The 26490-nt window shown below is 43.4% G+C and overlaps 1 long non-coding RNA gene and 1 pseudogene across 3 annotated transcripts; both read right to left on the reverse strand.

Annotated features, from left to right (window-relative positions):
- Window positions 1-3871: 3871 nt before the first annotated feature.
- On the reverse strand, window positions 3872-18526 carry LOC105377236 (uncharacterized). 3 transcript variants are annotated; one of them, XR_938660.2, is made up of 5 exons: window positions 18371-18526; window positions 16332-17117; window positions 15926-16087; window positions 12795-12930; window positions 3872-5415 (listed from the first exon to the last, which is right to left on the reverse strand). It is a non-coding gene; the product is annotated as an uncharacterized LOC105377236 (long non-coding RNA). The 3 variants fall into 3 exon arrangements; XR_938661.3 differs by lacking the exon at window positions 18371-18526 and having other exon boundaries at window positions 15926-16000; window positions 16332-17296; XR_938659.3 differs by lacking the exon at window positions 18371-18526 and having other exon boundaries at window positions 16332-17296.
- OFD1P16Y (OFD1 pseudogene 16 Y-linked) lies at window positions 6106-12931 on the reverse strand (annotated as a pseudogene).
- Window positions 18527-26490: the final 7964 nt, after the last annotated feature.

A 26490-nucleotide genomic window follows, 5' to 3' on the forward strand; every position in this document is an offset into this window, starting at 1 on the left:
AAGCTTTGGCTAATATATCTCTCCCTAATAAGGGTGTGGGACTTTCAGGCATAACAAGAGAGTCATGTGAAAAGAATAAAGTCTCCCAATTACAACTGAGGAGGTGGGAGAAATACCTGGTTACAGGCTGTCCCAGGATTCCTTGGATGGTAACAGACCTTGAGGACAGTCATCTCTGACAGGAGGTTAACACTGAGAAGGCTGCACCAGTGTCTAGGAGGAAGTCAATTTCCTGGCCCTTAATGGTTAAATGTAGCTGGGGCTCAGTGAGGGAGATGACATGAGCTGGTGCTTGCCTGAGGCAACCTCAGTCCTGTTGTTGGTTCATCTGGTTGTGGGCTCCTGGGCCAGAGAACCTTTGCCCTCTGAGGCAGTGGGCCTTTCAGTGATTGCCTCAGCATTGTGCATATGGATGAGGGGGTGGCTTTTTTCTCATTGGACAATCTTTTTTAAAATATCCTTATAAACCACACTTGTAAAACGCCCTATCAGGTGATTGGCCTGCTCCGTTTTCTGTCCTCTCTGAACCACCAAGATTTCTTTGTCTGAGGCCATGACTAAGGTTGTGGCCTTTCTCTGATCTCTCTTTTCCTTTTGGGCCTGTTCCTCTCAGTCCCTATTGTACAATACCGAGGTTGCCAGGTTTAATAATGCCTCCAGATGGCAGAGCTTGCAGTGAGCTGAGATGGTGACACTGCACTCCAGCCTGGGCAACAAGAGAAAAACTTTGTCTCAAAATAATAATAATAATAATAATAATAACAATAATAATAACAATAATGCCTCCAGATTTTGTTCAGGGCCCAGGGCTTGCTTTTGGAGCTTTCTCCTGATATCTGTGGCTGATTGGGTAATAAATTTATCTTTTAGAATCAACTGAAACTTGAGTCAGTCAGGTGACAGGGGTGTATATTTTCTTAAGTCCTCCCATAGCTTCTCAAGGAAGGCAGAAGGATTTTCTTCTTTTCCCTGAGTTAAGCTGGACATCGTTGACTAATTCATGGTTTTTTTTCCTAATTCTCCTTAGTCCTTCTAGAACACAGTTCAATAGATATTTATGACTCCCAGTCCCCATGATCTGAGTCAAGGTCCCAGTGGGGATCCATACAAGGGATGGCTTGCTTGACCGGTAGGGAATTTGTGCCTTTCTTCGGCTGTCATTCTATTATTTACTTGACTAAGACACCAGGTATCTCCAAACTCTCAGGCTGCAGTTAAAGCCACAATCTTTTCATTAAAGGCCAGGGTTTGATCTAAGAATAGCATGACATCTCTCCAAGTGAGATTGAAGGTTTGCTCTATACCCTTGTAGGACATCTATGTACCTATCAGGATCATCTGAAAACCTCCCCAGGTTTGCCTTGATCTGCTTTAAATCAGAGAGGGAGAAGGGGACATGTACCCAGGTTAGGCCAATTTCCCCTCCCCCTACAGCTTGAAGGGGACATAACTGATAGCCTGGGGGTTTTTGTGGTCCTTTGGAGATTTCTTTTGCTTGTTTCCCTCTGGGCAGAGGAGTTTAGTGGAGGCTGGGTATGAAGGTAAGCTGAGAGGTCCTCCTCTAGGATGTAAATTGCAAGCTTTGCATAGTTGTGTATTCTCCTTCAATGAAAAGAAAGCTTGGACACAAGGTATTTCACTAAATTTGCTTCCCTCTTACAGAAAAGGTCAAGCTGTAGGAAAGTATTGTAATTTTTACTTCCCTCAGGTGGCCATTTTTCCCCATCAGGGAGAGAATATTGGGGTCAGGCCATAGTGCAGAAAAAAATAAGCCACCTCTTTTTCAGGGTTTGTGGGTCAAACTGGTCCCAGTGGCTTAGGATGCATTCCAAGGGTGAACCTGTTGATGCCTGAGTGTTTCCCATCTGAAAGACAAAACCACCAGCAGTTTTGATTTGTTTGTTTCTGCCCCTGCCCAAGAATCCACAATTGTCCCTGGACCCTGCTGATCAGAATAGTTGTGCTCACCAATGCAACAGCAGAAACACCTCTTGCCCAAGAACCCACAACAGTCACTGGACCCTGCTGATCACAATAGTTGATTCACTGATGCAGCAGCAGAATCACCTCTTTACCAGAAACCCACAATGGTCCCTGGACCCCGCTGATTAGAAAAGTTGCACTCACTGATGCAGCAGCAGAAACATTAGTTTTCCTCCTAGACCACAAAGAGGACTGAGGGAGGTTGGATTTAGTGGCCCTTGCTGACACATTCTCAAAAACCTGCACCCTTTCCTGTCCTCCTTGACCACAAAGGGGACCAAGAAAAATTGGATTTAGTGGCTCCTACTGACAGATTCTTGAAAACTTTGTAGAGTCCTAAGCATTCTCCTGTTAGTATTGGGACTTTACAACTGTCCTACAATGATGTTACACCCCAAATATGAAGTGGAGGACCATACCCTGAGTAAGGGAAGGGATCTCAAGAGTTGGAAGATTGATGCTTTTTGTCCTCATATGAATAGGAAAGATACCATTTCTGAAGCTCCCCATATCCTAGCTTCAGGCATTGCTTTTTTTAGACCTGCTAGTCTAAGGAAGGATCCTAAAATTCCAGATAGTAACCCCAACCCATGATGGGGCTTTGGGCAAAAATTATGTCTTTGTGATTGGTGAGCCTGGAGAGCTAAAGAAGGTAAAAGCACCCTGAAGTTTATACTAGAAATCATTCTTATAGGATGAACTAGAAAACTCCAGTGACAAGGAGTGGTTTTTAGAAGCAGGACTAACCTAGGAGAAGAAAGGCAAGAGGAAGTTTGTCTGACAAGCATTAGGACCCAGGAGGCAAGCATCATGATAGATAGGATAGACGGGTGAGTCTCGCTTGGGCGACATGACTTTGAGAGTTCTGCTCATGGCTGCTGGGTCAATCAACTTGTTGGGACCCCACAACTGAATGGCTTTCCTCTCTGGTGACCCGCGGCTCATCCCAGAAGTACAGGAAAAGCAGAAGCTGGTTCCAGGCAAATCAACACTCCCAACTCCGAAGAGTCTGAGTTTGTTAGAGCGCCTTTTCCCAGAAAGCCTGACACCCAAGTCTTTAGTGTGGTGGCCATGCTAGTTGCTCTTAACAGGCCAACAGGTACCCAGCATTTAGTCTCTGAATTCTAAGGAAAAATAAGACAAAATAGCAAGTGAAAGGGGTCCCATGATACTCACTGCTTAGTGAGTGTCCCTTCAGGGTCGCCAAAACATGTCCAGAATTGGTTGCTTCTGGTGAGTTCTTGGTTTCACTGACTACAAGAATGAAGCCTTGGACCCTCGCAGTGAGTATTACAGTTCTTAAAGATGGTGTGCCCAGAGTTTGTTCTTTCAAATGTTCAGATGTGTCTGGAGTTTATTCCTTCCAGTCAGTTTGTTATCTTGCTGACTTTACGAGTTAAGCCACAGACCTGGGCAGTGAGTTTTACAGCTCTTAAACGTGGCATGTCCAGAGTTGTTTGTTCCTCCTGGTGGGTTTGTGGTCTTGCTGACTTCAGGAATGAAGCCACAGAGCTTCATGGTGAGTGTTACAGCTCACAAAGGTAATGCAGACCCAAAGAGTGAGCAGCAGCAAGACTTATTATGAAGAGCAAAAGAACAAAGCTTTCACAGAGTGGAAAGGGACCCAAGCAGGTTGCTGCTGCTGGCTGGGGTGGCCAGCCTTTATTGTTTTGTTTGTTCTCACCCACATTCTGTTGGTTGGTCCATTTTATAGAGTGCTGATTGGTGTGTTTACAAACCTTTAGCTAGACACAGAGCACTGATTGGTGCATGTTTATGGAGTGCTGATTGGGGCATTTACAAACCTTCAGCTAGACACAGAGTGCTGATTAGTGTGTTTCTACAGAGTGCTGATTAGTGCACTTACAATCTTTTAGCTAGACAGAAAACTTCTCTGAGTCCCCACTCAACCCAGGAAGTTCAGGTGGCTTCACCTCTCAAAACCATTAGCAAAATTAAATCAGGAAAGTGACAGGATTAAATTTGTGCTTGTAAATAAATATTTTGCCATTACAATTACCAATACTAACCCTGTATTTCCTGATTTGGTAGTTACATGATGGTAATTTGGGAGAGTGTTTCTACTTTTTGTAAAACACAGTGGGATATTTTGAATGAAGCTGCAAATATGGCACAGCAACAACCAGTCGGGAATCTGGGAGAAAGGATAAAGTATACTAACTGCTATTTCAAGTTTCCTAGAGGTATAAAACTATTGGGAAGTAAACTCCTTTTCAATGAAAACAACCATGTCAATACCATGTCACTAAAGCAGAGACAACGACATCAAACTTCATTATAGGAGCGAAATCCAGCTCAGTGGAAGCTGTGAAACCAACTGCCTTTGTAAGTGTAGGAATGTTATGTCAGTATTACAGGTCTTACATCTGTATGACAGGTGTCACATCAGTATTTACGGGTGTTACATCAGTGTTATTGTTGTTCTATTTGTATTACAAATGTTACAGTGGTATTAGGAGTGCTATATTAGTATTATATGTGTTAGATCAATATGAAAGTTGTTACATCAGTATGAAAGTTGTTATATTTGTATTGCAGATGCCATATTGGTATTATGAGTTGTATGTTGGTATTGTGAGTGTTACAGTTGTATTACAGGTGTCAAGAGAGCACTATAGATGTTACATCAGTGTTATGGATGTTTCATTTGTATTGTGAATCGACATTGGTGTTATGAGAGTTAGAGTTCTATTAAGGGTGTTTGATCAGTATTAGGGTGATTATATTTGTATTTCAGATGCTATATTGGTATTCTGAGTGTTTTATTGCTGTTATGAGTCTTACAGTTGTATTACAGGTGTCAGATCAATATTACAGTTGTTACATTAGTATTACAAGTGTCACAACTGTATTATGGGTGATATATTTGTTTACAGATGTATCTCCATTGTAGGTGTTATAATTGTGTGACAAATGCTATATTTGTGTCACGAGGTCATGGCGTGCACCTGGCATTGTGGTCACCACACTTGGGTGTGGGGAAAGTCCTTGGGGTGCACTAGAGCCATAGGAATATTTTTTTGTTTCTAATTTTCCACACAAAACCCTTCTAGTGGGTCCCTGATCCTCAGCAGTTAGAGGAAGGTTTTTACTTATCTCTGCCTCCAACTGGAGTGAGGCAGTGTGGCTGGAGTCTGTGCTGAGGAGAATGGAGCTCTCATCCTCAGGTGGCATGTGCTGAACACGCGGGTCCTCCAAGGGTCAGAAAAGGCAGGCTCATGTGTCCCGTACTGGCTGCTGGCAGAACTGCAGGACCCAGGTGGTCATGGTGAGGCAGCTGTGCATTCTTTTCTGACTGGCCAGGGGCACTAAATAAAAGCAGACTTCAGATTGTTCAGTGCCATCATTTTGGAAATTCCAACTGAAATGCTGCCTGTTATCCTGGGTTTTCTTGTTGTTGTTTGTTTTTTGCTGAAAATGATGAAGGGACCATTAACCGGAAACCACAGACAATGAAATGAACAGAGATGGCACATTTTACAACTTACAGAAAATTTTTCTCAACATAGTCCTGAGACTTACAGTGTAAAACTATTCAACTTGTAGAAGAAAGCACAGAAAGAGACCTATGTGACCTTGGGTTTGGTCATGAGTTTTAACATAAGACACTAAAGCTTATCCATAACAGAAAAAAATAATTAACAATGTAGGCCTTCTCATATTAAAAGTTTACACTCTGCATAAAATCTTCTTCAGGAAACAGAAAGATAAGCCACAGTCTGAGAAGAGATATCTGCAAAATACAGATCTAAGCAAGAACTTGCCCTGAAAATACACAAAGAAATATTGAAACTCAACAATAAGACAGACTATCCAATTAAAAATGGGTAAAGAGCTGAGCAGCTACCTCATCAATGAAGATACACAGATGGTAAGCAAACAAAAAGATGCTCAATCTTGTATATCATTAAGGGAGTGACAGTCACAACAGTGAGATAGCATGGCCCATCTATATTTGCTAGAACTGTGAAACTCTGTTCAAAACATGACAAATGATTTGCTGAAGGAAAGACAGGTGACTTGGGATAAATTATGTATGACTAAAATTTCACATACTGCTTAAAATCTATTTCAAAAAACAATATGCTTAACAATTACCTTAAGTTCTTTCATACAATTTACAGATTGATTGAGTTCCTCCTTTTTTGCATTAATAACTAGGAGCTCCCCTTGCAAACAAACAGCTTTTCCTGAAATAAACAGCCCATTAAACACCACAATATTTTCCTAGTGAATATAAAAGCTGTTTAACATTCATGGCCAGTATGCCAGACCTAATGATCATTATTTTAAAATATGAAATAGCATATGTAGGGGTTAAAACTTTCATGGGCAAGTGAGAAATAACACTGTATCTGCCATGTATGTCATGAAATTCCACCTGCTAAACATGTTAAGCAGAGTTACACCATCTGCTCAGAGCATAAGGCCCTAATACTCATAGTTCTTAACTTCCTTGAAGACAAAGATCTGTCTGTTATTACATTGTAACAGTCAATAATGTTACTGTACCAAAGTTATTATGTTGTCATTTTCATTTCATCTGTCATGAATCTCTGTAGCTATATCACCAAAGTATAATTTATTACCTAGCTGATGGTACTAACCCATAAAAGAAGAGTTAGTCTCCACAAGATAGTAGTAAAAGGTGAAGTCACTTATAGGGTGTCTGGTCAACATCGAGTACCCATCCTTGGTTTACTTCCAAGAATCTATTTGAAATTTCTACCAAAAATTTACTTCTCATTATAGGCAATTTCCTAGAGACACATTGAAATGTAGAATGTCAGAAGATTGAAAAGTTACTCATCTTCCAGTCTCAGGCCAATACATACAAGAATACAGGAAGTTATATATCAAGTAAAATATTATAAATAAAAAATACATTAGAAGCCAATGAAATAAGAAACTATGCCACATGGGACAGAGAAGTTAAACTTTTTTGTAAGTGTAAAATAAAGTATCTCATGGTTAGGAGTAATATGTACCACAGGCAATAAGTTGCTGCCAACTTCTGGACACTTACACATTTATCAAAATATCTTGAAATCAAGTTGAGTAAAATATCCAGGATAAATCACAGGCCTTTCTGAATGCATATAATATTAAACATGAGGGTTTCTCAAAACTCAGTGAAGACAATGTTTTTAATTTTTTATAATTAGAATTACAAAAAAATGTGTAATTTTGTAGGAACAATGGAGTATAAGCTATATTTTTTCAGAATACAGGACAGGAACAGACCCAACTTGGGAAGCTAATCAACTTTATCAGAACTGAAAAATACGCTTCTTTCCCCACCCAAACATCACCTTTATTCTTCCTTTCATCTTCAATCAGTACATTAGTTCTAGTGATGTGGTCCTCCTTTAGTTGAAGTTGATACATGCGAATCAGAACGACTAAATATGAGTTCCTCGGTTATCTTTATGGAAAGACCATTATCAATGCAGATAATCTACGTCAGAGCTGCAACTGAGGGCACTGAACACGACATTTTGTAAACTTCAAAGTCCCTCAGTGCTAAATCCAGGGATCTAACTTCCGAACATAAAATGTCCAGTAAAATGTTGCCTTGATGCTATAAAGCTTACTCACACAAAATGGAGGGTTGTGTTGTTATGAGGTTACTGAAAGCATCACTTTTCAGTTGGTCTCAGCTGACCCAAAGAGCACAGAAGAAAATTAAATTTACAGAGCACACAACAGACTCAATCCCAAATGATAATTAGACAGTCACTTCCAATCCACTTGTCGTATCTGCCAACCCCAAACCAATGTAACAAATTTTGTGCCCAGGGACCAAGCACAGTCCTGGGAAACATGTGCCAAGGGCATTATATCTGAATTAGCAATACCCAAAGGCACATTTTCAAATTTTCACTTTTCTTTCCAAGCGGTTACAAGCTGCCCTTTTGGTTCCAAAAGGACAAAGAAACACTCCTGTGGTGAACAGTTTCCAAACTCCAACACTCGCCAAAGTTGTATGAGAATCGCCAAAGCCAGACAGACCCCATGCAGACGGTAGAAGCTGTAACTATGATACCAAATAGTTCACTAGCTCCACAACAGTATAAATTAACACACATACTTTAATTCATTTATTCCTAAAATTTCAGTAAAGAACTTTCCAGGTTCCTTATTTTAGTATAGAAACAGACACAGAGAATGTGGGTAAAATACATCATTTCAGAATTGATTAAAAAAAACTGTCCAATAAAAAACATAGAATTTGTTTGAAGAATAACTTCAACAAGTGTTTGCAAGTATTATGTAATGGAATATTGATGGTAAATTATGAGGAAGGTGATAAAAATAGGCCACATAAATGCCCAGAGCACGTGAGTCCTTTCCTCATGACACATTTATGACAAATATTAACTGAGCACTTTTTATGTGTCAGATGCTTTCACACCCACTGAAAATTACCACAAGTACATAGTATCTTAGCACTGAGATATTACTCACTGATACAAAAGTTCAGAGTAAAGAAAAGCCAAAATAACAAAAGTAGTCTATTTTTTCCTTTCCCTATATCACATTTTCCTCACATAGTTAATTTTAGCTCTTTTGATTCTGACTTTGCAGAATCATAAAGGAATACAAGGCCCATGGACACTGACAAATACTATGACAGCTATGTATAATTTATATATTGTTAGATATTCCCATCTTTGTGGCAGTATGAGTGGGGTAGAGGAAAAGGTGACTAAAAGTGATTATAATTCAACTTTTGCAGCTTATCTACTATGCAACCTGAGCAAGTCACAAGGTGCCCTGAAAGTTAAAGCAAATTACAGCCCTCAACAAATGTTAGAGATGCCATGAGTAACAAGAAAAGAGGGTGTGTTTCTCTATAGCTTATCTTTTAAAAACTACCTTAACTCAAATGCAGGAAAGTATTGGCTATTGATAGACATATATATTTTTTCAAACACTAAAGTTTGCATAAGATATTAATCATAGACTACTTCCTCAGTTTTTGTTATACTTCTACCAACTTAATTTATACATACTACTTCTTTAAAAGTGCCAAACAATTACTTTAGAATTTTGCTCCTGAGCTTTCTGTCATAGCTCTCCTCAAGAGACTTTGTATTCTGCTCTCATCTTCTAAGTCCTCACTCATGCTGTTATGTTTTTCTGGAGCTTCTGGGTCCAGAAATTAGCAATAAATAAATAAATAAACAAATACATGAATAAAGTAAATGAACCATAATAACTGAGTTAACAAATTTAGGAAAAACATCATGTGACATGCTTTTAGTTTAACAGATGAAAACTGCTAATGACCATTACTGCTGGGAAATAGAAGAAAAGAGCCAGAAGTCCTCAGCGTATTTTATGAACTGGCCTGGTTACAGGGTATTAAAACCAGCAGAACCAGGGGGCTGTGGCATCTGACTGAGAAGAGTGGGAGAGTCTCTGACTAAGGGAAGTGGGAGAGCCTCAAGAGGGAAGTGGTTTCTCATGGTAGATAATTAACACTTAAACAATAGTTACAGTGATAAATGGCCAAAATCAATTCTGGGATGAAAGAATGATACTATTAGTTACAAACTAATAAAGGTGTACTTATGGGCTGGACACTTTCGCTCATGTCTGTAGTCCCAGCAGTTTTGGAGGCCAAGGTGGGTGGATCACCTGAGTTCAGGAGTTTCAGATCAGCCTGGACAACATGGTGAAACCCTGTCTCTACTAAAAATACAAAATTAACTGGGAATGGTGGTGCATGCCTGTAATCCCAGGTACTCAGGAGGCTGAGGCAGGAGAATCACCTGAACCCAGAGGCGGTGGTTGCAGTGAGCCAAGATTGTACCATTGCACTCCAGCCTGGGTGACAAGAGTGAAACACCATCTCAGAAAAAAAAAAAAGAAAAGAAAAGAAAAGAAATAAAAGAAAGTATATTTATGTACCCGAATCTTCTATAATGCTATTTCTAACTGTGGGGTTCAGTTAATTAGTCCATATATATTTACATTACAATATTTGCTTTTGTCGCTTAATAATGTATCAGCTTTAGCCAAGTGTGGTCACCTGCACCTGTAATTAGAGCTTTTCAGAAGGCTGAGGTAGGAGGATCACTTGAGCCCAAGAGTTTGAGATCAGCCTGGGCAACATAGGAAGACCCTGTCTCTTAACCCAATACCAAAACAAAACCAAAATAAAACAAAACAAGAAAACCATGAAAAACAAGGACCATTGATTGAATATTGAAGTATTCAAAGAGAGAGCAAAAGATAGATATATCATTCAGGACTTCCAAATACTTAAGAATAGAATGGTCTTCATAGTGAGACTTCAAATCAATTATAATTTATTCTTAACCATACTTATTCTTAACTATTCCAAATACTTAAAAACAGAATAGTCTTTATAGTGTCCATAGTGAGACTTCAAATCAACCATAGTATCAATTCCATATGTGTGTATATATATATGTATATCAATTCCATATGTGTGTATATATATGTATATCAATTACATATGTGTGCATATGTATATATATATATACAGAGAGAGAGACGAGAGACAGGGTCCTGCAGTGTTATCCATGACTGTATATATATGTATGTATGTGTGTATATATTTATGATATATATATGATATATTTTATATATATATATTTGATATATATTTGGATAAGGGACTGAGATGTTAAACAACTAAGTAGTATACATTCCAGAAGGCATGTTAGGAATATATGGAAATGTAGTTTAACAGGATTTGGAGGAGTAAATACTATGAAGCTAGAATAACTAGTTGAATAAGGCTGAAACCTTGCATTCCAACAAGGAAGACGTATATTCGTTTAAACCTGTTGTGTTTTCACTAGCTTTGAATGACACTATGCTTTTATCAGGGAGAGAAGGGGGTTGATATTCCAGGTGAGGAAATACAGACATGGTGCTTTTTATGAGGCTGGCAGTCTTCCTCAAAGCTTTCAGATACTTGCAGTTAAATACACAGGAATCTAGTCAGTCAACTGTCTTGAAGATGAAGTTATTAGTCTAAAAACATTTCAATCACCTTGAAGATCTGTGCTTCCAAAACTCATTTTTATAGCTGAAGCAAGCCCAATTCACAGAAGTGCTATATAAAATTTTAGAGGGGTGCCCCTCACATTACATAACTAGGTCTCAATGAGAAGTCCTAAGCAAGAGTGGACCCTAGGGGGACGCCTTCCTACTGTTAATGTCTGGAAGCAGCCATTCTGTATGTATGCTGGAAATACTGCAGTAAATCCAGTCTGGTCTGAGACATACCCTTGGAAAAGGAGTAAGATTTCTTAAAGGAGTAGATCTAATCCCACTTGCCAACTTGGGACTCCCTGCCACTTCTCATCGTCTTCGTGTCCTATCCAGTTACTTTCCTGCTGATGATATCAAATGGCCACATGGATGACCCTTGTGGCTCTGGTGACTCCTTTACCCCAGGGATCTTCACTCTTGCTCGTTTCCATGGCTGCCTCCAATGGCAGCATACTGTCTTTGATTTCCAGTCTCCACCTGAATGCTCATTCTGCAGTTCTGTACTCTTGGGCCATCCTTATTCTTCCACCTGCCAGTCTTTCCAGATCTGGTCCTTGATCACTGAGACTGCCACTGAACCCTCCCTTTCTCCCATGTTAGCAGCCACCTGCCGTCTCCTCTGCTTCCCTTCACTACCCAAGAGAGCCCCAGAATCCTCAATTAAATAGGCTGCCTTTCTCAATTAAAACAAATTAGGCTCTGCAAGCCTCCATTTCTGAAGCATCTCCATCTTTCCACCCTCAGTGAAAGGGACAGAAGAGAAAGACACTTACAATTCCTCCACAGAGCTAGAACAGGAAACTCACCTACAAGTATGTGGTTTGGTTCCTCTCAATTCCAGGCTAGCCCAACCACAGTTGGGCCCTCAGTACAGGTGATCAGTCCTCTCTGCTTTAAGGAGCTATTCTTCCCTTACCCACATGAGCTAGTCTGCACCTCCAAGCTGCTCCTACAACTCATTATCTATCCCTCTAAATTGTCTGAGTATATGGAGCTTTTCAAGGGTGTGTTTTTCATTATCCCAAGTTGACTGTTCATCTTTGCAATTCTTGCCTTTCCACCAGTCTCAGAGGAAGCAAATATGTGTATCCTTTTCAAGGTCCATCCTTCTTTCTATTTGATTCTTTTGCCCTCTTGGCTCCAGTCCCTATGGCACTTCTGGGGCATTGTTCCATCACTTGTACAATCTTGTTCCTGGATCTTGAGACAACCTACTGATAGCTGCAGGAATTAGCCACCCAGTGAAATATTTGTAAATACCACCTCATGGTGCTTGTCATTTATCTAAGGGATACTCTTTTCACAAAGAATGAGGGCTTCAGATTGTGCTTGACAAGCATTATCAAAATCATTCTGGAACACAACTAATTCCTTCTCATACTTTCTTTTCACTTCCATTTCAATTTTTGTTATCTTGGCATCTTTAAAAAACTTCAATGGCAAATTGATCAAAAAATTAAAATTCCAACTATTACACTATAAAAACAGTAACAAATTATTTCTCCAGAGCTAGGCCCAACATTAATGCTGTGTCCAAATATGTTGTCCAAATATGTTCTATTTATTTCATCTATACTTTTTTCTCATTCACTGTATCTGTAGGACTCACTCAAAAGACATAAACAAATGTCGTGAGAAAAAAATATGCACAACAGTATACTATCACATTCTGTATTAAAAGTTCTAGATATTTTTGATAGACCTAAGATTAAGTCTTTAGAAGACAAACTTGTGAAGAGTAATAAGATAAAACTTACCTTTTGACATGTTTCTGCCCAATTTGCTCTTCTACTTCTCTTTTATATTCACTTGGCTTTATTTCCAAAGACTCAATCTTGATATGCTGAGGGTAAGCCTCTGCAAACTGATCATCTATAAGCCCAAACTTCTCAGCTATTGAAAAGCAACAGGTCAAATTAAGACACAGAAGTGTGGTCAGGTGTGTAAGAGGGCAGACGTCTGGTTTAAAAGTAAAAATTACACTTAGGGGAAAGTGCAGGTGTCTTCAATTTACTTTGAAATACACAAAGACAGTAACACAGATGCATGAATGAACAGATAAAAATGATGAAGCAAGTATAATACAAATATAATAGTGCCATCTAGGTGGTATATAAGTGTTAGCTAGAATTGTTTCAACTTTTCTATGTTTTGAAAATGCTCATGAAAAATGTTAGAGGAAAAAGAAAACCAATAGTAGAGTTTAAGCTAGAAAATACTGGAGTCTTCTCCTACTCTCTAAGTGCAAAGGCATGGAGGTCTTCACTGGACTTTGGTTAAAGCTGACTTCACATTCAATGCCAATATAGGTTAATAAGTGATTACATAACAGCACAACCAGCACACACTTCAAACCCTCCGCTTTACAGATAAAGAACAAATGCCACTATAGGTTAATAAGTGACAACATAACAGCATAACTGGGACGAAAGTGGGGTCTACTGACTCTTTCTTCCATTAGTCCAGTGGCCCTCAAACCAGCTGTGGATCTGAATCAACCACATAGCAGAGTGCAAATCTGAACCCAGAGTACAATCTCAACCATGTATAGCACCCACCAAAGAAGTATGCATACAGGAAAAAAGTCTGGCTGAAGTATATTAAAGCACTGATGGTGTTTGGCTCTGGTGGGCATGACTTTAGACATGTTTTTACATCTACTTTTCTGTATTTTCCAAATGCTGTCAAAATCAGAACCTTAAACCACATTGGGCCATTGACACTTGAAAGGTGTCAGTCTGAACTGGGATGTGATTTAAATTTAAAAAGCAGATGAGATTTTAAAGACTTCATACAAGCTATAAATGTAAAATATCTTATTAGTATTTTTATACTGAATACCTGTTAAAACAATATTTTAGATGTATCAGATTAAATATATTTTAAAAATTTCACTTTTTTTTTACTGTTTTCAATGTGGCTGCTAATGTTGTGTAAAAGGTTAGGTATGGTCAGCAAGAAAATTCAAGTAATTTAAATCAAATTAAATTTATAATCCTTCTCCTTAAAAATTAGCTTCATTATTTTATAAGGAAAATACATAGAAAAATCTTGTTAGGGTTTACAAAGATGCAGGCTCCTATCTTTTTGGTTTTATCAAATCCTAAAACCTGTTAAAAGAAAATATTTTGACCAGGTGCGGTGGCTCATGCCTGTAATCCCAGCAGCTGGGGGGGCTGAAGCGGGTGGATCACGAGGTCAGGAGATCTAAACCATCCTGGCTAACACGGTGAAAACCCATCTCCACTAAAAATACAAAAAATTAGCTGGGCGTAGTTGCACACGCCTGTAGTCCCAGCTACTCAGGAAGCTGAGGCAGGAGAATGCCATGAACCCGGGAGGTGGAACTTGGACTTTAGGAAAAGGCAGCTAGTTCTCTCAGAGGAGCTTTGATTTTTCTTTGCTTTCATTGGGGAATCCACAGGGCCCCTCAGCAGCACTACTGGACACCCTTTCCAGGCTTGCCATCGCCATTGACGGCCTCTAAGACACTGTCTCAACCTCATCTGCACCAGTGGGAGGCGAGTCCAAGGTGTGAGAACACGGCTCCACATTGGACTTGCCTTTGCCGTCGTTGTTGCCTTTCCTAGAGAGTCCCTGCGAGTCCCATGATGAAGGGAGGCAGTGAGGGCAAGAGCCGGCTGTCGTTCGCGGACATCCGCCTATGCGGTCTCAGGTATGATTCTATCACCTAAGGAACCTGCAACAACAACACACCAGACTATATTCCAGTCCTAGTGGGACCGGATTCTTGTACATAGCCTCTTTCCAGAATGGAGTCAGAAAAGCAATTTCCAGCGACCACCTCACAGTCTTGAAATGCCACTTCCCGCAGCGGGAGCCTACCGTGTAGAAGATCCAAATGGGCCCTGAGTTGGAGAATTTTAGGGTCCTGCAATGGGTTTTCGCAGTCAGCCTTTTTCCCGATAACAGGCTGCCTCTGCCTGAACCATCTTCTTCTTCAACTCTGACAGCTCCGACAGTCGGGCTCCGGGAGCTGCCTAATGAATGCACGTGCGCTAGTCTCAGGGCACGAGGCCTGATGGTGAGTTCTGGCTAGCGTCAAAATGAATGTCAGCGTTGCGTAGTAACAAGTCCCTGCATCTTGACGGAGAAGGAGACCTCCGTGGAGGTGTGTTGGTTGTGGACTGTTGCCTGTCTTATCTGTGGGAATCCACAGGATAGTCCCATGATCGCAGGAGGGGGCAGACATGAGCCAGTCTGAAGAAATGTCAAGAACAAGCCCCAGGAATAAACCACGAAATTCCTAAGGATCTAAAAGGAACTACAGGATTCCTCAGGCCTGCCTAGACTTTGTAGGGGGGGAGATTTTTGAAACTGGCCCCACTGTGATTTCTAGATACAGCATGCCTGTTTTAATGGGGGTTGCTCTCTCCCTGGTAGGTCTTCCTGCAGAACCATGCAGCCTCAGGAGCTGCTGGCTGTATGTTTCTGTAAGAGTGTTGGGAGTGGTCATGTCTGAGTGTGTGTGTGTGTGGCATTGTGTGTGTGTGTGTGTGTGGGAAGGGCAGGGGGGAATGTGCCTGTAAATGGAGTAGGCTTAAAGGAATGTGGCTAACACACTTCAGCACTTCTTTTTTTTGAGTCTCCCAACCTTTTGGTAGCCTGTGGTTGTGGCTCTGCTTTGGCTGCGGGGCTCTGTGTTCTTTATTTTTCTTTGGATCATTAATCCACAGTGAAGTGGCAAGCTGATCGAGACCTGCTGGCATCCAAATCACCTCCCCCTGAGAAAAAAAAAGCCACCCTTCTAGAAAGAAGAGGAGCACACAACACCAAGAAAAACAGGCATCTCCCAGTGTTTCATTTTCCTGTGGCCAACCCTGGGAAAGACATTAACAGTCCTGTCCACAGTGCCCCTTGAATTTACCTCGAATTCAGTTCCCAGCTGAGCAGGTGTTTCACAACATGAAGGGGCACTCCTCCATTGTCTTGGGATTTCATTCTGGGAAACAGAGTTTGAGCAGCAATAAGGTCAGATAGGAGTGAGGATAAAATCTTGTGAGGGGTGGATGGGGTCCCACAACTTCACCTGCAAAGAAATGAAGACAGGTAACAAAGAAGGCACTTCCAACTCCATCCTTGCATTCCCTTAACTGCACAAGCAGTCCACACCATGGCCCAGTGTTCATGTGAGAGTACTCCAACATGCAAGGAATATTTGGAGTGCAAATTGGGGTCAACCTGGCAAATTTCCGATTTGAGGGCTTTCATACCCCGAGCCAAATGAGATTGGAATGGATTGATGCTGGGTTTCATGTGGCCTCCACACTTACCTCTTCTTTTCCTGACTTCCATTTTCCCAGTCAGCCTAGGGTTTCCTGTGTCTGGCTCAAGGACTTGCACACTAAACTCTTCCCAATTCACAGAGAATGACCCTCATAGGAATCCATTGCAAAAGTGCTTCCTTCTAAACACTGTCGCATTTTAATGACTGGGCAGCTTTGATAATTTTAATACTGTAAAGTCCCATTTCAGCTGCCAACAAGGAAAGTCTTGTTCTCCTGCTTCTTTCGGAGGGCTGGATGATTACTTTATTATGAGAAGCAGGCAGCTGTGTTTGGCTTTTTCCTGGTAATCTAGTCTCTCTTTCATTTCATCTGCACAGGTTTCTCATTGTGAAGGGGCTCTTTCATTGAGATATTGCAGGATGGGACTGTTTCTTGCTACAGATTATGTAGCTGCCACAGATTTCAGAGAGCAAAAGAGACGTTGGGTAAGCTGGCTGTGCTCCAGGTTGGGTGTCGTTCTCTCGTTATGGGAGTTGAAGTTGTTTGCACTTTGCAGGAAGCTTTACGGTCCTCTGACAGGAATCTTTGTACATTGCTTAGACTCAAATACAAGGTGTCTTGTTCTCTCAGGCGAGCTTTGATTTTTCTTTGCCTTCATGAGGAATCCACTGTGCCCCCCAACAGCACTACTGGACATCCCCATCACAACAGGCGGCCTCTGAGACACTGTCTCAACCTCAACTGCACCTGTGAGAGGCTAATCCGAGGTGTGAGAAAACTGCTTCACCGTGGACTTGCCTTTGTCATGGTTTCTGCCTTTCCCAGATAGCCCTGCAAGTCCCAGGATGAAGGGAGAAAGTGAGGTCATGAGCCTGGCCGTCTTTCACTGACACCCACCTCTAGGATCTCAGGTATGATTCTATCACCTAAAGAACCCTTAATGACACAACAGAGTATGTCCCAATCCCCAAGGGATTCCATTCTTGCACACAGCCTCTTTTGGGCATGGAGTCAGAAGAGCAGTTTCCAGCAACTACCTCACAGTCTCAAAACGCCTCCTCCTCCAGTGGGACCGGTCCACGTACACAACCTGAAGTGGCCCTGAGGTGGAGATTTCTAGGGTCCTACAGCGGGTTTTTACAGGGAGCCTTTTTCCCGACATCATGCCGGCTTGGCCTGTACCATTTTCCTCTGCTTGCCTGCCTCAGGAATGTGCATGGGCTAGTCTCAGGTCACCAGCCGTGATTGTGAGCTCTGGCTAGTGCCATAATGAATGTCACCATTGCATAGCAACTAGTCCCTGCAGCTTAACAGTGAAGGAGACCCCCATGGGGGTGCATAGGTGGTGGACTCTCACCTGTCTTCTCTGTGGGATGCAAGGGATATTCCCATGACGCTAGGAGGGGACAGAAGTGAGCCAGCCTGAAGAAATGTCAAGCACAGCCCCAGCAATAAGCAGTGAAATCTGTAAGGATCCAAAAATCTCTGCAGGATTGCTCAGGTCTGCTAGACAATGTAGGGGTGAGTCTTTTTGAACCTTCTCCCACTGTGATTTGTAGGTACAGCCCACCTGTGTTCCTTGGGGTTGCTCTCTCCTGGGTGTGGCTTCCTGCAGAACCATGCAGCCTCAGGAGCTGCCGGGCTGGGTGTTTCTGTGGGAGTGTTGTGAGTGTCAGATGCCTGCATGTGTCTGTGTCATTGTGTGTTTGTGTGTGCATGTGTGTGTGCCTGTAAGTGGAATCGGCTTAAAGTAATGTGGATAATGCACTTCAATCTTTCTTTTTTTGAGTCTCCAAACCTTTTGGTGGCCTGCGTATGGCTCTGCTAGGGCTGAGGTGCTCAGTGTTCTTTGATTTTCTGTGGATCTTCAATCCACAGTGAATTAGGAGGAGTGCCAAGATGCACTAAATCACCTCCACCTGAAAAAAAAAGCCACCCTTCTAGAAAGAAAAGGAGCATAACACACACACACACACACACACACACACACACACACACACAGACATTTCCCAGTGTTTCACTGTCCGGCAGCTAACCCAGGGAGAGACATTAGCTGTCCTGCCTGCAGAGCCTATTGAATTTACCTAGAATTCAGTTCCCAGCTGAGCAGTTCCTTCAAGTTCTGAGGGGGCACTCCTCAATCGTCTTGGGATTTCATCCTGGGAAATAGAGTGTGAGCAGCAATAAGGTAAGACAGAGGTGAGAATACAATCATACAACCTCTTGAGGGGAAGGTTGGGTCCTGCAACTTCACCTGCAAAACAAAAATGAAAACAGATGACATAAAAGGTGCTTCCAACTCCATCCTTGCATTCCCTTAATTACACAAGCCGTCCACATCTTGGCTTGGTGTTCAGGTGGGAGTACTCCAACGTGCAAGCCACATTTGGAGTCCAAAATGAGGCCATCCTGTCAAATTCCCCATTTGAGGGCTTTCATACCCAGAGCCAAATGGGAGTGGAATGTGTTGATGTTGGGTGGGATATGGCCTCCAGACTTGCCTCTTCTTTTCTTTACTTCCATGTTCCTCATTGGCCTAGGGTTTCCTGGGTCTGGCTCAATGACTTCCGCACTAAATGTTTCCAACTTCATGGACAACATGCCTGATGGGAATCCATTGTGTGAGTGTGTTCTTCTTAACACTGTCACGTTTTAATGATTGGGCTGCTTTGACACTTTTAAAACCATAAATTCTCACTACAGCCACAAACAAGGAAACTCTTTGTTTTCTCACTTCTATCAAATGGCTGCATGGTTCCTGTAGGATGAGAGGCAGGCAGCCATGACTGGCTTTTGCCTGGTAATCTAGCCCCTGTTTTATTTCATCTACATGGCCTTCTCATTGTGGAGGGGTTCTTTCTTTGGAACTGGATGGGACTGCGTCTCATCACAGATTATTCAGCTGAAAGTGATTGCAGAGAGCAAGAGGCACTTCAGGTAGGCTGGCTGCACTCCAGTTTGTGGGTTGTTCTCTTATTGTGGTTGCTGAGGTTGTTTGCACTTAGCAGGAGGTTGTTGGGTCCTCTCACAGAAATCATTGAACATTGCTTGGACTCCAGCACAAGGCAGCTCATTCTCTTAGGCAAGCTTTGATTTCTCTTTGCTCTCATAGGAAATCCTCAGTGCCCCTCAACAGCACTACTGGACATCCCTATCACCACAGATGGCCTCTGAGACATTGTCTCAACCTCATCTGCACCTGTGAGAGGCCAGTCCGAGGGGTGAGAACACTGATCCACTTTGGACTTGCCTTTGTCCTGGTTCCTGCCTTTCCCAGAGAGCCCCTGTGAGGCCCAGGATGAAGGGAGGCAGTGAAGTCAACAGCCTGGCCATATTTCGACACTACAACTGCCTCTGGGGTCTCAAGTATGATTCTATCTCCCAAAGAACCCTCAACAACACACCACACTATATTCCAATCACCATGGACCTGAGTCTTGCACACAGCTTCTTTCAAGAATGGAGTCAGAAAAGCAGTTATCAGCAACGACCTCACAGTCGTGAATTGCCTTGACCTCCAGCGTGACCCGACCACAGAGATGACTCGAAGGGGCCCTAAGATCAAGACTTTCAGGGTTTCCCAGTGGGTTTTCGTAGGCGGACTTTTTCCCGATATCAGGCAGGCTCTGCCGGTACCATTTTCCTCTGCATAGGCAGGCTGACATCTCTGACAGCCTAGCGTGGGCGCCTCCATCGCGAATGCGCATGCGCTAGTCTTAGGGCACGGGGCCTGAGCTGTGAGCTGTGGTTAACATCCCAATAAATGCCTCCGTTCCCTAGCCACAAGTCCCTGTGGCTCGACTTAGAAGGACACCTTGGTGGAGGTGCGTCGGCAGTGGTCTCTTGCCTGCCTTATCTGTGGGATCCATGGGATAGTCCCATGTTCCTAAGAGAGGTCAGACGTGAGCAGCCTGAAGAAACCTCAAGCAGAGCCCAAGGAATAAATCACGAAATCCCTAAGGATCTAAAAGGATCTGCATGATGCCTCAGACCTGCCTAGATGTTGTAGGGGTGAGTCTTTTCGAAATTTGCCCTACTGTGATTTATTGGTACAGCCCTCCTGTATTCCCAAAGATGCTGTCTCCCAAGTGGGGCTGTCTGCAGAACCATGCAGCCTCAGAAGCTACTGGGCTGTGTGATTCTGTGAGAGTGTTGCAATTGTTGGGTATCTGCCTGTGTGTGGCTGTGTGTGTGTGTGTGGGTGGGTGTATCTGTGTCTCTGTCTCTGTCTGTATGCCTATAAGTGGAGTCCGCTTAAAAAAATGTGGCTAACACGCTGCAGAGCTGCTTTTTGTATTTTTTGTTTTTTTATTCCTCCAAGCTTTTGGTGGGCTGTCTCTGTGGCTCTGCTTGGGCTATATGGCTCCGTGTTTTTTATTCATTCTTCTGTGGGTCATGAACTTATAGTGAATTGGGAGTTTGACTGAGACCAGCTGGGATCCAAATCACCTCCCCCTGCAAAAGAAGCCACTCTTCCAGAAAGAAGAGGAGCACACCACACCCATAAACAGACATCTAGTGTTTCATTGTCCTGTGGCCAACCCAAGGAGGGATACTAGCATTCCTGTCTGCAGACCCCATTGAATTTACATCACATTTGGTTATCGGTTGAGTAGGAGCTTCACATCATGAGGGGACAGTCCTCTGTCATCTTCGTTCTGGGACAGAGAGTGTGAACAGCAATAAGGTCAGTTAGGTGTGTGGATACAATCTGGTGAGGGGTGGATGGGGTCCTGCACCTTCACCTGAAAAATGGTGAAGACAGTTGACACAGAAGTTACTTCCAACTGCATCCTTTCATTCTCTTAACTGTACAAGCAGTCCACATGATGACCCAGTGTTGAGGTGGGAGTACTTCAACGTGCATGGAACATGTGCAGTGCAAACTGGGACCATCCTGGCAAACTCCTGATTTGAGGGCTTTGATAACAGGAGCCAGATGAAAGCAAGATGGATAGTTGCTGGGTGGGATGTGACCCCTACACTTGCCTCTTCTTTTCCTTACTTTCATGATCCTCATCCTGGATCTGGTCAATACCGTCCACACTAAATATTTCCTAGTTCACAGAGGACGACCCTCATGAGAATCAATTGTGTGAGTGTTTCCTTCTAAACACCGTCATGTTTTAATGACTGCACATCTGAGATATTTTAAAACTGTAAATTCCTGTTAAAGCCACCAACAAGAAAACTCTTATTCTCCCACTTCTATGTGAGGGCTGCATGATTCCTGTAGGATGAAAAGCAGGTAGCCATGTCTGGCTTTTGCCTGGTAATTTAGACTCTGTTTCATTGTGCTTGCATGTCCTTTCTCACTGAGGAGTGGGTGTTTCATTGGGCTGTTGCTGTATGGGACTGTCTCTCACCACAGATCCTTGCTGGAGATTTCAGAGAGCAAAAGAGACTTCAGGTAGGCTGACTTCACTCCAGGTTGTGGGTTGTGGTCTCGTCTTGGGGATTGAGGTTGTCTGCACTTTGCAGATGGATTTGGGTCCTCTGAAAGTAGTGTTTCAGCATTGCTTGGACTTCAACACAATTCAGCTGATTCTCTCACAGGAGCTTTGATTTTTTCTCATTTTCATGGAGAGTACACATTGCCCCTAAAGAGTATTACTGCACACCCTTTTCAGGCTTACGGTCACAACAAATGGCCTCTGAGACACTGTCTCAACCTCATCTGCACCCATGAGAGGCCAGTTCGTGGTGTGAGAACACTACTCCACCATATACTTGCCTTTGTCGTGGTTCCTGCCTTTCCCAGAGAGCACCTGTGAGGCCCAGGATGAAGGCAGGCAGTGACGTCCAGGGCACAGACATGTTTTGTTGACACCTGCCTCTGCAGTCTCAGGTATGATTCTATCACCCAGAGACCCCTCAACGACTCACCAGACTATATTCCAATTGTTATGGGACCCGATTCCTGCTCACAGCCTCTTTCAGGAATGGAGTTAGAAGTGCAGTTTCCAGTGACCAGGCCACAGTCTCAAATTGGCTCCACCTCTAGTGAAACCCGACCAAGAAGATGGCTTGAAAAAGACCTAAGGGTGAGAATTTTAGGGTCTCTCAGTGGGTTATCTCAGGCAGCCATTTTCCCAGCACCAGGCCAGCTCTGCCTGTACCATTTTTCTCTGCTTAGACAGGCTGACAGCTCTGAGAGCTGGACCCCCAAGCCTGTGACACGAATGCAAATGTGCTAGTGTCCTGTCACCAGGCCAGAGTTGTGAGCTCTGGCAAGCGTCACAATGAATGACAGTGTTGCCTAGCAACAAGTCCCTGGGGCTTGGTGGAGAAGGAGGCCACCGTAGATGTGTACTGGAAGTACACTTTCACCTGTCTTCTCTGTGGGATCCACAGGATGTTCTGGTTATCCTAGGAGAGGGCAGACACAAGCCATCATGAAGAAAGATCAAACATAGCCCCAGGAATAATCTGCAAAATCCCTAAGGATCCAGAAGAATCTGCAGGATGCCTCAGGCCTCCCTAGACATAGTAGGGTTGAGTCTTTTTGAAACTTGCCCCCACTGTGATTTCTTGGTACAGCCCACCTGTGTTGCCTGGGGTTGTTCTCTCCCAGGTGGGGATTCCTGCAGAACCATGCAGCCTCAGGACCTGCAGGGCTGTAGTTTCTGTGGGAGTGTTGTGAGTTTGGTTGTCTCTGTGTGTGTGGCTTTGTGTGTGTGTGTATGTGTGTGTGTGCATTTAAGTGGAGTCTGTGCAAGTGAATTAGGCTAATGCACTGCAGCACTTTTTTTTGTTTCCCATCCTTTTGGTGGCCTGTGTGTCTTTGCTTGGGCTGTAGGTCCCTGTGTTCTTTATTTTTATGTGGATCAAGAATCCACAGTGATTTGGGAGGCTGGCTCTTACCTGCCATGGTCCAAATCTCCTACACATGCAAAAAAAACAGCCACTCTACTAGAAAGAAGAGGAGCACACCTCACCCAATAATGTACATCTTTGACTGTTTGACCTGTGGCCAACCCAGGGAGAGACACCAGCAGTTCTGTTGGCAGGGCCCCTTGAATTTACCTGTAATTCAGTTCACAATAGAGCAAGTGTTTCCCATTGTGAGGGAGCACTCCTCAATTATCTTGGGAATTCATCGTGGGACATTCAGTGTGAGCAGCAATAAGGTCAAATAGGAGTGAGGATACAATCTGGTGAAGTTTCAGTGCGGACCCACACCTTCACCTGCAAAAAAGCTGAAGACTGATGGTGCAGAAGTTACTTCCAACAGCATCCCCACATTTTCTTAATTGCACAAGCCATCCACATCATGGCCTGGAGTTCAGGTGGGAGTACTTCTCCATGCAGGGAACGTTTGGACTGCATACTCAACAATGCTGGCAAACTCCCAATTTCAGGGCTGTCATACCCAGAACTAAATGGATGTGGTATGGATTGATGCTGGGTGGGATGTGGCCTTCACACTTGACTCCTCTTCTCCTGACTTTCATTTTCCCTGTTGGCCTAGGGTTTCTTGGATCTGCCTAAATGTCTACCACAGTAAATTTCCCAGTTCATGGAGGATGACCCTCATTTGAATCCACTGTGTGAGTGTTTCCTTCTAAACACTGTCAAGTTTTAATGACTGGGCAGCTTTGATACTTTTAAAGCTGTAAATATCAGTTACAGCTGCCAACAAGGAAACTCTTATTCTCCCACTTCTTTCAGAGGGCTGCAAGATTCCTGTATGATGAAAAGCAGGCAGCCGTGTCTGGCATTGCCTGGTAATCTAGCCTCTGTTTCAATTCATCTGCAAGTCCTTTCTCATTGTGGAGGGGCTCTTTCATTGGGTTGTTGCTGCATTGCATTGCCTCTCGCCCCAGATCTCTTGGCTGCCAGGGATTTCAGGGAGCAAAAGGGACTTGGGGTAGGCTGGCTGCACTCCAGGTTGTGGGCCATTGTCTCATTGTGGGGGCTGAGATTGTTTGAACTTTGCAGGAGGCTTTGGGTCCTCTTACAGGAATCATTGAGTATTGTGTGGACTCCAGCACAAGGCATCTCATTCTCTTAAGGGAGCCTTGATTTTTCTTTGCTTTCATGGAGAATCCACAGTGATACACAACAGCACTACTAGACACCCTTTTCAGGCTTTCCATTGCCACAGACGGCCTCTGATACACTGTCTCAATCTCATCTGCATCCGTGAGAGGCAAGTCCAATGAGTGAGAACACTGCTGCACCTTGGGCTTGCCTTTGTCATGGTTCATGCATTTCCCAGAGAGCCCCTGTGAGGCCCAGGATGAAGGGAGACTGGGAGGGCATGAGCCCAGCCATCTTCCTCTGATACCCACCTCTGGGGTCTCAGGTATGATTCTATTGCTCAAAGAACTCACAACAAACAACAGACTATATTCTGATCCACAGTGTACCTGATTCTTGCACACAACTTCTTTCAAGAATGGAGACAGAAGTGCCGTTTCCAGTGACCACTTCAGAGTGTCGAAAAGCCTCCTACTTCAGCAAAAGCTCACCACCAAGACAGCCAGAAGTGTCTCTGAGATTGAGACATTTAGGGTCCCACAGATGGTTTTTGCAGGCAGCCTTTTTTCCGATACCAGGCTGGCTCTGCCTGTCCCAGTTTCCTCTGCTTAGGGAGACTGACAGCTCTAACAGCATGGTGCCCAAGCCTGCCACATGAGTGCACATATGCTAGCCTCAGAGCACCAGGACTGCCTGTGAGCTCTGGTTAGCCTCACAGTGAATTTAACCATTGCTTAGCGACCAGTCCCTGTGGCTTGGTGGAGAAAAAGTCATCCATGGAGGTCTGTCAGTGGAAGACTCTCACCTGTCTTCTCTGTGGGATCCAGGGGACAGTCCCATGATCCTAGGGGAGGACATACATCAGCCAGCCTGAAGAAACATCAAGCAGAGCTCCAGGAAGAACCTACAATATATCTAATGTTCCAAAAGTTTCCACAGGACTCCTCAGGCCTGCCTAGACATTGTAGGGGTGAGTCTTTTTGAAACTTGCTGCACTGTGATTTCTAGGTACAGCCTGCCTGTGTTCTCCAGGTTACTTACTCCCATGTGGGGCTTCCTGCAGAACTATGCAGCCTCAGGAAATGCTGGGCTGCCTGTTTCTGTGGAATTGTTGAGAATGTTTGATGTCTGTGTGTGTGCTGGACATTGTTTGTGTGTGTGTGTGTGCTGGACATTGTTTGTGTGTGTGTGTGTGTGTGACTGTAAATGGAGTCTGCTTAAAGGAACATGGCTAACGCACTTCAGTGCTTCATTTCTTTGAGTCACACAACCTTTTGTTGGCCTGTCTGTGTGGCTGTGCTTGGGCTGCTGGTACCTGTGTTCTTTACTTTTCTGTGGATCATGAATCCACAGTGAATTGGGAGGCAGGCAGAGACTCGCTGGCATACAAATCACCTCCCTTTGCAAAACAAAAAACAAAAAAAAAAAAACACCGGACACAGCACAGTACACCAAAAAACAGACATCTCCCAGTGTTTCATTGTCCTTTGGCAAACTCAGTAAGAGACATTAGCAGTCCTGTCCACAGGGCTCCTTTTATTTACCTCGAATTCAGTTCACAGGAGAGCAGGTGCTTCATATCATGAGGGTACACTCCTCCATCATGTTGGGATTTCATCCTGGGACATAGAGTGTGAGCAGCAATAAGATAAGATAGGGGTAAGGATACAATCTGAAGGGTGGATGGGGTCCCACAACTTCACCTGCAAAAAAAATGAAGACAGATGACACAGAAAGTGCTTCCAACTCCATCACCATATTCCTTTAATTGCACAACCAGTCCACACCATGGCTCTGTATTCAGGTGGGAGTACCCCAACCTGCAAGAAACATTTGGAGTGCAAATTAAGGCCATTTTAGAAAACTGACAATTTGAGGGCTTTCATGCCAGGAGACAAATAGGAGTGGAATGGATTGATGCTGGGTGTGATGTGGCCTGCAGATTCGGCCTCTTCTTCTCCTGACTTCCATATTTGTTATCAGCCTAGGGTTTCCTGCATCTGGCTCAAGGACTTCCACACTAATCATTTCCCAGTCACAGAGAACGACCGTTACTGGAACCCATTGCATGAGTGTTTCCCTCTGAACACTGTCAGGTTTTAATTACTGGGCTGCTTTGATACTTTCAAAACCATAAATTCCCATTACATCTGCTCACAAGGAAACTCTTGTTCTCAAGCTTCTATTCGAGGGCTTCATGACCCCTGCAGGATGAGAAGCA

Source organism: Homo sapiens, chromosome Y (genome assembly GCF_000001405.40).
Source record: "Homo sapiens chromosome Y, GRCh38.p14 Primary Assembly".
NCBI classification, from domain to species: Eukaryota; Metazoa; Chordata; class Mammalia; order Primates; family Hominidae; genus Homo; species Homo sapiens.